General features: G+C 45.7%; 1 long non-coding RNA gene across 1 annotated transcript in view; it reads left to right on the top strand.

Annotated features, from left to right (window-relative positions):
* LOC101928269 (uncharacterized) overlaps positions 1 to 12,339 on the top strand; it is a 50,008-nt gene that overhangs the window by 6,166 nt on the left and 31,503 nt on the right. The window contains exon 2 of the long non-coding RNA NR_110418.1: positions 10,331 to 10,372. This is a non-coding gene — a long non-coding RNA (uncharacterized LOC101928269). The remainder of the gene's footprint in view (positions 1 to 10,330; positions 10,373 to 12,339) is intronic.

Below are 12,339 nucleotides of genomic sequence, written 5' to 3'. Positions count from 1 at the left end.
TGGAGCTCCAAGTCCCCTTAAAGCTCTAAGACTTCTTTGGTCTGCTGATACTTGCTTGGGGCGGTGGGGTGGGGGCAGCAGTGAAAGTGGGGATGGAAGGCAGCCTCTGTTGCCTCCTGGACTTTAGGTGTGCTGGGGCTTACCCCTCTCTTGCCGCTAGGGAAACACCTTCCAATCTCTGCTTTTCTGGAGGCGCTCCCTCTTCAGAGATGCTGGGTGCTGGCTCCCAAGAATTTACAGCTCTCTTAATTGTTTGTATTGTACATCCTTTTTCTTCCCCAAATCATGTACACACTGTCAATGTGGTTGAGCCTGCGGGCAGCATCCAGGCAGAGTCGTACCTAGAATTACCATTTCCCTCTATCCCACAGGTCCTGTTGGTGAATCTGACACATCAGGTTCAACCTTTATCCAGCACAGTAGACTCTGTCCCAGGGACTGTCACAGTCTCCTCTATTCCCACCTTCTGTGGGCTTCCCCTACTTGGCACTGTTCTACCTGCTCCTGGGCTCAACAGAGATTCCAGTAATTTGGGGGGAGGTTTCTGGACCCCATGATAATTAGTGGATGCCATGCATGTGGGTGGGTCTTTCACCTCCACAAGCTTCATCTACAGCCTAGACAAGATTCCTGCTGCACATATCATTAGAACTGTGCAAAAGTGTGTACACAACATTCAAGTATGGGAATAGTTAATAATTGAGGGATCATTAGTGGGTGCAAATTCAACAATTTCAATTCTATTGAATTGGTGAAAGTTTCAATGGGATGTGGTAGAAATAGGAGGAGGCAGGAATCAAGGTCCACATATAATTCTTTTGTCTCTGCCAATGAGTAGCTATGACTTTAGACAAGTCAGGAAGTTCCTTCTTTCCACAATTTTGTCAATGGCAAAATGGCAACTGTAAATTATGAATGATTCCATGACAATGATTTTAAGTGGAAATTTAGTGGCCCATGGCTGGATTTTGAACCATCTACTCAGGTCTCACAGTGCTGAGGGCGTGCTCCTTGGTACTCAGGATTTCTGAGACCTCAGTACCTGTTGCTGACACGTTTGCATTAAGACGGTTCCCCCCTCCTTCCATGGTTGTTTGGATCACTGGGGCAAGCCGGGTAAATCAGCTTTCCTGGGCACTTAGAATTGGGTCTCAGAAATCCTGAGTACCAAGGAGCACACAAAAATCCAGAAGTCATGGAGTGGCCATAGGTATTCCTTAGAGCTATAAGATGGTCTTTTTCTACCCTATGAAGTGAAGTAAACAATGAAGTTCTGGAGAAAGTAGTTGTACAAAGAGATGTGGAGCTAAGAGGCAGAGAGCTCGTGGATTTCCCAGTCCCCCAGTTGCTCATGAAGTCTCCTTATCCTCGGGTTCCATGAAGCACCCCCGCATCCTTCTCACAAATTTCATTTTCTGATCAAGGTAGCCCAAGTTGGTTTTCATTACTTGCTTTGCCTTGACTAAGATAATCTCTACTGTTCCATAATAACATCCAAATTTGGGGTGGTCCTTAGCAAATGCTTATGCTAAGAAAATTCCTAAAATAAGAAAAATCATTCAATCTATGTTGAACATTTATGGAAAGAATAAGGATCATAAATAAATATATCCTAAAAGTGCTTGAAGTGGGAAGTAGGATGTTTTCCTATTCCTTTCCAGCAAGATCTAAAATCATCCCACCAGAAATCAGGAGAACAGATTCCCAGAATAAACAGGAGGCCATCAACCAATCTTTTGCAAAAAGGGTTGCTCTCAGTTTATTTAAAAATTTATAATAATTACAAAAATAATAAGACATGGCTCATGTACTGCTACTATCTTTTAATGGAACAACATTGGTTATTTAGTCCTAGAGTCTCATAACAAGTCAACTGAATGTTTATTGTGTTTGAATGAGGCTCCAGGAAGCTGCAAGAGAGGTATACAGTGGATGCTTAGGTTTTGGACCTCTTTTTTTTTTTAAAGACCATTTTTTTCTACTCCCTTTCCCTTTTTTAGTAGTTAGTCTTATATACTGGAAAATATAACTTTCTATGATGATACAAATGTTTTATATCTGTGCTGCCCAATATGGTAGTCACTAACCACATGTGGCTTTTGAGCACTTGATATATGTGGTTAGCATGACTGCAGAGCTGAATTTTAAATGTTATTTCAGTTTAATGAACTAAAGTTTAAATTGAAATAGCCACATGTGCTAATGACTACTGAGTTAGACAGTGCACATTTAGTCAGTGTTGTTAAGACTTCATTTGAGGGAGCTAAGCTATGAGGATGCAAAGGCATAAGAATAATACATTGGACTTTCGGGACTCGGGGGGAAAGGCTGGGAGGGGGTGAGGGGTAAAAGACTACACATTGGGTACAGTGTACACTGCTTGGCTGATGGGTGCACCCAAATCCCAGAAATCGCCACTTAAGAACTTATTCATGTAACCAAACACCACCTGTTCCCCAAAAACCTATTGAAATAAAAAAATAAATAAAAAAAGACTTCATTTGTGATGTTTGGCAGGGTTTTACAGTGGTTTGAATTACTCATCTGATTTCTCTTAATTCTCTCATTTCCCACTTCAAGAAGATCCACGATCGTGAAGCTGGCTGTATCACCTTTTAAGCACATTTGATTTTGTTCTTTGGATAAAGCTCTGCCCCAGTTCTGGTTTATTTTAGATGGGGGTTCTGTGGTTGTGTGTGGGTGAATTGTGGCTTTTTATGATAATGCTGGCATTCACAAAACACACCTGACGCTGAGGGCAGTCAAATGTAACCTGGAAGGAAGGGTATTTGCTTACCTTTCAACTTGTTTGAAGACTAAACCACAGCCATGTTGGGATAAAAGAGCCTGGTGAGATAGTACCAGCAAACTCTAGGGAGAACTCATCATGGCTCACCACAAAAACCTCAATGTTGATATGCACTTTTTTTCCTTTATGGACCTTAATGACAGACTTTCCTGGGTCTCGGTTGCTGTGAAGAGGTTACTTGAGGAGGGGAGTAGTATATTTACTACATGTAATTATTCCTGCCGTTGCCCTCTTTATTTAAAAAACAAACTCAGAGCAAACCTTTCCACAAGAGGTGAGTTGACAGCCTCATGCTCTGCCTAGGAGCCTGTTCTCCTGGTTCCTGGCAAAATGGGTTCAAGTTCAAGCCGATTGGATCCAGAGCTGGGAGTCTTTTGAGATATGACTGAATGCATTGGTTCAAAGACAGTAAGGTCTGTTGCAGAAGATGACGACACATTTGATTGAGATAGTTGAGAAGGTGTCTCTTCTATTGTTTCTGGTTGGGTTTCTTCGTTAGAGACTTGAGTGATCTTTCAGTTTCCTGCCTTGTGCCCTGCTGAGAAGCAGCCCTGGTCTCTAATGGCTGGATCATTTTGTTTTGTGCACCTTGTGACATCTGTGACTATAACTATCCACAGGCCTGGCAAAGCCAGTCAATCCGTGGATGCTATCCACAGGACTTTTCTTCTCCTATCTTCCTGAAAAGGGGAGGGAAAGCATCCTTCTCTGCACTTTGGCCATCCGATGCCTGAACTGCCTGAGGTTGAAGGGAGATTTGTTTATTGGTGTGGTGAGTGGTTAAGTCAACCTCCTGAGGAGGGCTGGGGCCCAGATGCAGGAAAGCAGATAGGTTGAAGTCTGGGGCCACTTTCTGCTATTGTCACCATAGGTACCCTTATCAGGACAGTCCGGGAAGACCTTACTGCCCTCCTGATTAACCAGCATCTGTTCAGTGCGCTTATTGCACCACTTGCTTGCTCAGTGGTCCATGTGGCTACTGCTTAGGGAAGTGCTGGGTCAGGTCAGTGAGTCAGGTAGGTGCTGGCATTCGTGGAATAAGCCAGTCACACAGAGTCCTCTGCCAGTGAATGTTCACCTCAGTCCAAGCAAACTCTTATGGAGAGCCAGGAGCAAACAGCCACTGGACTCGACTCCGGGTTGAGTTGGCCTGGAGGCTGTCTTCGTGAAGTCCCTGGACATGGCAGGGTTTCTGATTGGTGGGGCTCAGATATGAGAGTTGTGGTGTGTGAGAGTTGAGGTGTGCGCTGAGGTGTGTGTGAGTTGGGGCATTTGTGAGTTGGGGTGTGTGAGAGTTGAAGTGAGTGGGTTGGAGTGTGTGTGAGTTGAGGTGTGAGTTGTGTGTGAGAGTTGGGGTGTGTGAGTTGAGGGGTGTGTGAGTTGGGGTGTGTGTGAATTGGGGTGTGTGAGCTGGAGTGTGTGTGTTGAGGTGCAAGCTGGGATGTGTGTGAGTGGGGTGTGTGAGGTCGTTTGATTGTTGAGGTGTGTGCTGTGAGAGTTGGGGTGTGTGAGAGTTGAGGTGTGTGACTTGAAGTGAGTTGGGGTGTGTGAGAGCTGGGGTGTGTGTGAGTTGGGGTGTATGTAAGTCGGAATGGTGTGAGTTGGAGTGTGTGAGAGTTAAGGTGTGTATCAGTTGGGATGTGTGTGACAGTTGGGGTGTATGTGAGTTGGGTCATCTGTTGGGGTGTGTGCTGTGAGAGTTGTGGTATGTGTGAGAGTTGGGGTGTGTGAGTTGCAGTGTGTGTGAGAACTGGGTTGTGTGTGAGAGTTGAGGTGTGAGTTGTGTGTGTGAGTTGGGGTGTGTGAGAGCTGGGGTGTGTGTGAGTTGGGATGTGAGTTGAGGTGTGTGAGAGTTGGGGTGTGTGTTGTGAGAGCTAGGGTGTGTGTGAATTGGGATGCGTGTGAGAGCTGGTGTGTGTGAGTTGGAATGTGTGTGAGAGTTGAGGTGTGTGAGAGTTGGGTCATCTGATAGTTGGGGTGTGTGTTATGAGAGTTTGGGTGTGTGTGAGAGTTGAGGTGTGAGTTGTGTGTGTGAGTTGAGGTATGTGAGAGTTGGGGTGGGTGTGAGTTGGGGTGTATGTGAGTTGGGGTGTGTGTGAGAGTTGAGGTGTGAGTTGCAGTGTGTGTACGTTGAGGTATGTGAGTGTGTGTGTGAGTTGGGGTGTATATGAGTTGGGGTGTGAGTTGAGGTGTGAGTTGTGTGTGTGAGAGTTGGGGTGTGTGTGAGTTGGGGTGTGAGAGTTGGGGTGTGTGTGAGTTGGGGTGTGTGAGAGTTGAGGTATGAGTTATAGTGTGTGTGAGTTGGGTTATATGTGAGTTGGGGTGTGTGTGAGAGTTGAGGTGTGTGAGGGTGTGTGTGAGTTGGGGTGTGTGTGAGAGTTGAGGTATGAGTTACAGTGTGTGAGTTGTATGTGAGAGTTGGGGTGTGTGTGAGTTGGGGTGTATGTGAGTTGGGGTGTGTGAGAGTTGAGGTGTGAGTTGCAGTGTGTGTGAGTTGGGGTATGTGGGAGTTGGAGTGTGTGTGAGTTGGGGTGTGTGGGAGTTGGGGTATGTGGAAGTTGGGGTGTGTGGGAGTTGGGGTGTGTGGGAGTTGGGGTATGTGGGAGTTGGGGTGTGTGTGAGTTGGGGTGTGTGTGAGTTGGGGTATGTGTGAGTTGGGGTGTATGTGAGTTGGGATGTGTGAGAGTTGAGGTGTGAGTTGCGGTGTGTGTGAGTTGGGGTGTGTGTGAGTTGGGGTGTGTGTGAGGGGGTATGTGTGAAAGTTGAGGTGTATGAGAGCTGGGTCATCTGATAGGGTGTGTGTTGTGAGAGTTGGGGTATATGGGAGAGTTGGGGTGCATGTTGTGTGAAGCTTGGGCATTGTGGTGGGTGTTGTGTGTGTGTGAGGCATTGTACAGTAAGGTAGCCTTGGCAGCCTCTGAGACAGCCCCCTGAGCCCCAGCTTGAATCGGAAGGGCCCGGCCCATCACCTTCAGGTGGACTTGGGCAGTTAACCCCGCAATAGGGAAACAACAGTCTTCTGGGATGCGCCATTCACTTCTATTTGTCTGTTTGGGAAGCTGTGAGAAAGGGCTGCAAACTCCAACAAATGTGTGTACACTTGTGCTAATAGCAGCATTATTCACCATAGCTGAGAGGTGGAAGCAGCCCAGGCGTTCATCGATGGGGGAATAAATACAGAAAATGCTGTATGGCTGTAGATAGACCAGCGCAGCACCCAGCCTGGAAAGGAAGGGAATTCGGACACAGGGATGAACCTCGGGGACATTATACTAAGTGAAAGAAGTCAGTTACAGAAGGACAACTACTGTATGATTCCACTTACACGAGGTCTCTAGAGTAGTCGAATTCGTAGAGACAGAGGTAGAACGGTGGTTGCCGGGGGCTGGGGCGAAGGGGAATGGGGAGTTAGTGTTTAATGGGGCAGAGTTGCAGTTTTGCAAGATGTAAAGAGTTCTGGAGATGGTGGTGAAGGTGGCTGCACACGCATGTGAATGTACTTAACACTGCCGAACTGTAGACTTAAAAATGGTGAAGATGGTAAATTTTATGTGATGTGTATTTTAGCCATTGCAGGGTGGCTGTTCCATTCCCTACTACTAAGCCTGATGGTTTATGTTGGCTGCTAGCACTTGGGGGTGCACTATTTTGCTCCCCTTAGCCTCTGCCCAGGGAGGCGTGCTCCCAAATCTCTCACAGGAGGAGAAATGAGATCGCACTGGCCTAGCATCAGGGAAACATCAGTCTGGTTCAGCACACTGGAAACAATTCAGTACAGGAGCCTCCCACGTGGCTACAAACTGCACGCCCAGAACGAGGTTAAATAAAACAAAATGGAATCGTAGGCTGAGTTGGGAAAACAGTTTCCCCCAGGTTACTAGGCTTTACCTTCCTAGATGCAATAGGCGCCGGCCCAAGTTGGCTTTTAACTCTGGCTCTGTGAGGTGGTGGGGCCGAGCTTTTTTTTTTTTTCCCTTTTTTCAGATGGAGTCTCACTCTGTAGCCCGGGCTGGAGTGCAGTGGCGCGATCTCGGCTCACTGCACCTCCGCCTCCCCAGACTTAAGCGATTCTCCTGCCTCAGCCTCCTGAGTAGCTGGGACTACAGCTGCACACCACCATGCCCAGCTAATTTTTGTATTTTTGGTAGAGACGGGGTTTCACCATGTTGGCCAGGTGGTCTTGGACTCCTGACCTCAGATGATCTGCCCGCCTCGGCCTCCCAAAGCACTGGGATTACAGGTGTGAACCATGGTGTCTGGCCTGGAGCCAAGCATTTTTATCCCCAGTGGTGAAAAGGAAACTGGCATCAGTGAGGGACAGTGATGATCCATCTCCCTCCTCACTCTCCTGCTCTGTCCCGCAAGGCCACCTCTGTTTGCACTGGGAAAATGCAGATGTGTGAACAGAAGCCTGGACAACAGGGGCTTCTCTCTCCTCATGGCTGCAGTCAGGAGTCTGGCCAGCGCTGCTCACCGTCAAATCCTTTGATATTTTGACTTAAACCAGTATCCCATTGGAGCCGCCAATGGAAGCAACAGTTGAGGCCCTTTGTGTACAGTCCTCTCATCTCACATTTCTGGGTGGATTTCTTTTTGGAGACAATGTTCGAGAATCACCTTTGAAATGAGCATTTATCTGCTTAGGGACTATTCTCTGGATTGTCAGAACAAGTGTAACTCTGAAATCCTGTTTCCGTAGTCCTAGGCCTACTCCAAAGGAGGAGAGGAATCTCCCCCACCCCTACCCGGGGAGCTATGCTTTATCTTATTTTTCCCAAAGACTAGCACGGCAATTCTCACTTGCTTCTTTCACTTCCCTACGGAATGGCTGGCCTGACTCATCGCACTGTTCTCCTGGTTCTGCCCCTTGCTCTCTAAGTCTCAGTTTCCTCTTCTGTAAATTGGGTACAATATCTCAGGATGGCTGAGAGTTTAACTGAGTTTTTTTTTTTTTTTTTTGACGGAGTCTCACTCTGTTGTCCAGGCTGGAGTGCAGTGGCATGATCTCGGCTCACTGCAACCTCCACCTCCCCGGTTCCAGAGCTTCTCCCGCCTCAGCCTCCTGAGTAGCTGGGATTATAGGCATGCACCACCATGCCTGGCTAATTTTGTATTTTTAGTAGAGACAGGGTTTCTCCATGTTGGTCAGGCTGGTCTCGAACTCCCGACCTCAGGTGATCTGCCCGCCTTGGCCTCCTAAAGTGCTGGGATTACAGGCATGAGCCAGAGCACCTGTCCGTAAGTGAGTTTCTATAGGTGAAAGTGCTGTATCGATTTGAAACTGTTACGCCAATGGGCATTACTCTCCTGCTAAAAACCCATGAGAAGATGGGCGGTTTGTCTCCCTCTGAACTTGCTGCCTGGCAGGGAGACTATGTCTTAATCATGCTGCCATATTAAAAACATTAATAACGAAGATCATTTCTCTCTCCTTTCGGCCCTCTTTCCCTCTGCCCCCATTTCTGTCTTGGTGATCATGCAAATTGATTTTCATTTCTTTTTCTCTCTCCTAGCCTCACTGTCAGGAGAGGTTCGTCAAAGCTGTTTCTCCTTGAATGTCTGTTATTTGCCATTGCCTTCACACGAGTCAGTGGAAGGTCCTGCTTTAAGCCTGTGAAGGTGTTGGAGAGCTAGACAGCCTTTGTCTTCTGACCCACAGAGACTGATGTGAATTTAAAGGCAGATATTTTTGGCTTTGTTTATTTATCTTTTTGAGACGAAGTTTCGCTCTTGTTGCCCAGGCTGGAGTGCAGTGGCACGATCTCGGCTCACTGTAACCTCTGCCTCCCAGGTTCAAGTGATTCTCCTGCCTCAACCTCCCAAGTAGCTGGGATTATAGGCATGCACCACCACACCCACCTAATTTTTTGTATTTTTAGTAGAGACGAGGTTTGACCATGTTGGCCAGGCTGGTCTCAAACTCCTGACCTCAGGTGATCCACCCACCTTGGCCTCCCAAAGTGCTAGGATTATAGGCATGAGCCACCACGCCTGGCCTTTGGTCTTGTTTTGTTTTTCTTCCGGGGAAGGGCATCATTTGGGAAGACAAAGAGGTCCAGAGAGTGGGCTCAGCTCAGGGCTGGAGAGGGCAGCTGGGAACCACCTTCTGCTGGCTCCCTGCAACCCTGGCTCAGCTCTGCCCCTGGACACTGAACCTCTCTTCATGCCCAGAACTGCCGACCGTATTCCCAGGCTCACAGGAAAGTTAATATCTGTTCTGTGGTTTGTTGAAAAGTCCAAATCTGACTGTGTGATTCAAGCCAGTAGCGTCAAACTTTGGCCGGGGAGGGTTGGTTTTTGGGGGAAGCTTGGAGAAGTGAGAAGCTAAATATTGTGACATGAGAAGTTTTTCTGTTGATTTTAATGCACTTTGCATAGTTTTCCAAGGCTCTTGGCGCTGGGCGGTGGCCTGATTCATTGTGTAACATGAGGCTGCCATGGATGAGGCTCAATAATACTTGGGTGTGTGGTTTGTCGTCTGGGAACCTGGGTGTGCACGCTCTGTATTTTCTTGCCAACCAGAAATCTTGAGCAAATGACCAGCTCATCAACATAACATTTCTTCCTGACCCTTGATGTGCCAGTGAGTTCTTGAAAATTACTACCATGTGACAGCTTTTTGGTGGTCTCTGTGTGGAGGAGACAGAAAGGAATCAATTGTATAAAAATTGGCACCACACTTGGCATTTTGGCAGGCCCTCTCAGAAAAGTGGCTGTTGTCGTATAAAATGATCTGCTTTGTCAAGGGTGGGTGGGAAGGAACGCTGAGCTTCTAGCTCATATTGGGTTGTTGAAAGTCAACCTCCTGGAAAACATTGTTGAAATCAGGAAGCCAAGTATATTATGGGTATGGGAAGATTGAGATGGAAGTTCCTAAGATCTAGGTGAAATCCAAGAAGCTGGTGGCAGGGAGCAAAATCTTTTTTTTTTTTTTTTTTTTTTTATAGAAAAGCTCTTTGTTTTGAAATAATTGTAGATTCATAGGAAGTTGCAAAAAATATACAAGGATATTCCATGTTTCCTTTACTTCCGTCACATCTTGCATAACTGTAGTATGAGAGGAAGTCATTAAATGAAGCCAAGTGCTTTTGAGGTAGCTAATTGACACTTCTGACAATGCAATCATGATCCTATTATGGAGATAACAGCAGCAAAAAAAAGTTTTTTGAGCCCCTGCTATTTGTCAATATACCGAGCATTGGGAAGGTAAACAGATCAGTCCCGGTTCCTCCCTTTGGAGGGGGTTACAGAACGAGCAGGGGGACTGACATTAAATAAATCATTATGCAGCTAATTCGTTAATTACTGTTGTGATAAGTGCTATAAAATGGAAATATAGTCAAAAGAAAAAAATAATTTCATGAAAAGAGACCTTAAAAATTTCCATGAAGTTTAATCATCTTAAAATTTTCTAAACATTCTATAGGAGTGGTAACTTTGAAGTTTGCTCCTACTATCAACTTTATAATCGTGTCCTTTTTGGGAATAATTTTTCCAAATTTTCTTCTTTTTCTTTTTTAGAACTGTGAAGCCAACTATGCAGCGATGACTGTACCCACAGATGTAAGTTTATGAGGATATTATTAATATACGTCGAAAATTTGGCTGCAGAAAGAAAATTAGACTTCAGAAATCTGTTCTGCAATATCACCAGCAATTAAAACATGCTCCTGCCAAGGGGCACGATTCTTGAACATTGGCTGTGTTTGATGAGACGCTAACATCTTTTCAATAGCAAAGCTTCCTGCCTTTAGTTCCAGAGGGTAGATTTGCAAACCACATTGAGAGGTCAAATGCATAAGGTTCACTCATGTAGTTCAGCAATGCAATCTAATTTGGAATCCTTAGGGTTTAAGTGAAGAGAGGAACAATTAGATTTATGTTCCCTGTTGAACTCAAGATGTGGTATCCAGGCAACTCAAGCTGAACGCACCCAAGATAGCGACCCTACCCACCTCCTTGGTAAACTCTGCACAGGTGGTGGAAATAATACCTGGATAAATATCACTGGTCACTTAGGAAATTTTCTTTATATCAACATTTGCTGTGGGAGGTTCTCACGTCTCCTGGCTTTTGCCAAGCAAACAGTGTACTTCAGACAAGAAGCAGGAAACAGAGGTTTGTCAGAAGGTGCTGGGAGTCCTTGGCCTTATCAGTGATGTCAGCCAGGTTATTCGACTGATCGCCAGCTCCAGTTTGTGTGAGATGCTGTCTTGAATTAGAATACCTGTCCAAGAAGCACATAATATTTAAAAGCGCTGACTTTATGTTTGTTTAAAGGGGAGCATCTTTGTAATGTTTCATTCCTCATTGATGTTTGGTGTCAATGAGTCTTTCAAAATGCGCTTAGTATAGAAGCAAGAGCTGCACTTCCATTGCCTTATTCTAAATAAAATGGGGAAAGAAAGCCCCGCAAAAATCCAAAGAGCCTCAAACGTAGCTTTTCCTCCCCTTGTAGGGAAATCACAGGATCAGTTCATGTTAATCTTGATGTTAATCCTTTTGTTGAATTTCACTTTTACAATTATTTTTTATTTTTTATTTTTTTTGAGACAGTCTTGCTCTGTCGCCCAGGCTGGAGTTCAGTGGCTCAATCTTGGCTCACTGCAACCTCCACCTCCTGGGCTCAGGTGATTGTCCTGCCTCAGCCTCCCGAATAGCTGGAATTACAGGCATGCGCCAGCACACCCGGCTAATTTTTGTATTTTTAGTAGAGACAGGGTTTTACCATGTTGGCCAGGCTGGTCTCGAACTCCTGACCTCAGGTGATCCACCTGCCTGAGCCTCCCAAAGTGCTGGGATTCCAGGCGTGAGTCACAGTACCTGGCCAACTTTTGCTATAATTTTTAAATAATAATTTTTGGTATTTTTTTCAGAATGTTGGAGCTGAGATCGGGAGAATTTGTTATTTTCAGTGAATGCCAGTGAGCAGGTGGGTGTCCTGTTAGACACTGGAAGCCTGATGTCCCCTAGGCAGGCAGATGCTGCGCTAACTCTTGGAGGCAGGCCCCAGTCACTTCTGTATTCCCCAGGGCCTGGCACATAAGCTGTCATCAGTGGATGCTGGCTGCGTTGCTGTTGAAAACTTGCAGCTGGACGATGTTGGACTTTGGAGAAGATATCTGATTTTGAATCCTGGTTCTGCCACTCACTCATCTGAGTCCTTGGGCAAACCAATTAACCTCTCTGAGCCTTGTTTTTGTTTTTGTTTTTCACATGTAAAATGAAAAATAATAGGACCCACCACATAGAGCTGGAAAAATTAAATGAGATGATATTTAGTGCTTTCTATGGAACCTGAGGTACGTGTACTTGTAGATTGCCTGTGTCCCCAATTAGAGTGTAAGCCCCATGTGCACAAGGATTTGTCTTATTCACTGCTGTATCCCAATGCCTGGCACAGAGCAGGTGCTCAATAACTATTTGTCAGATTAATGAATACAAATGTATTACCAATTTTTCTATGATATTACTGTAAAAAGAAAGAGAACAGTGTAAAGATTGGGAGAATGAAGACATGAGACAATTAT

Source organism: Homo sapiens, chromosome 21, assembly GCF_000001405.40.
Source record: "Homo sapiens chromosome 21, GRCh38.p14 Primary Assembly".
Classification (NCBI taxonomy): Eukaryota; Metazoa; Chordata; class Mammalia; order Primates; family Hominidae; genus Homo; species Homo sapiens.
Note: the sequence above shows the minus strand (reverse complement) of the source record. Positions and strands in the feature narration are given on the sequence as shown.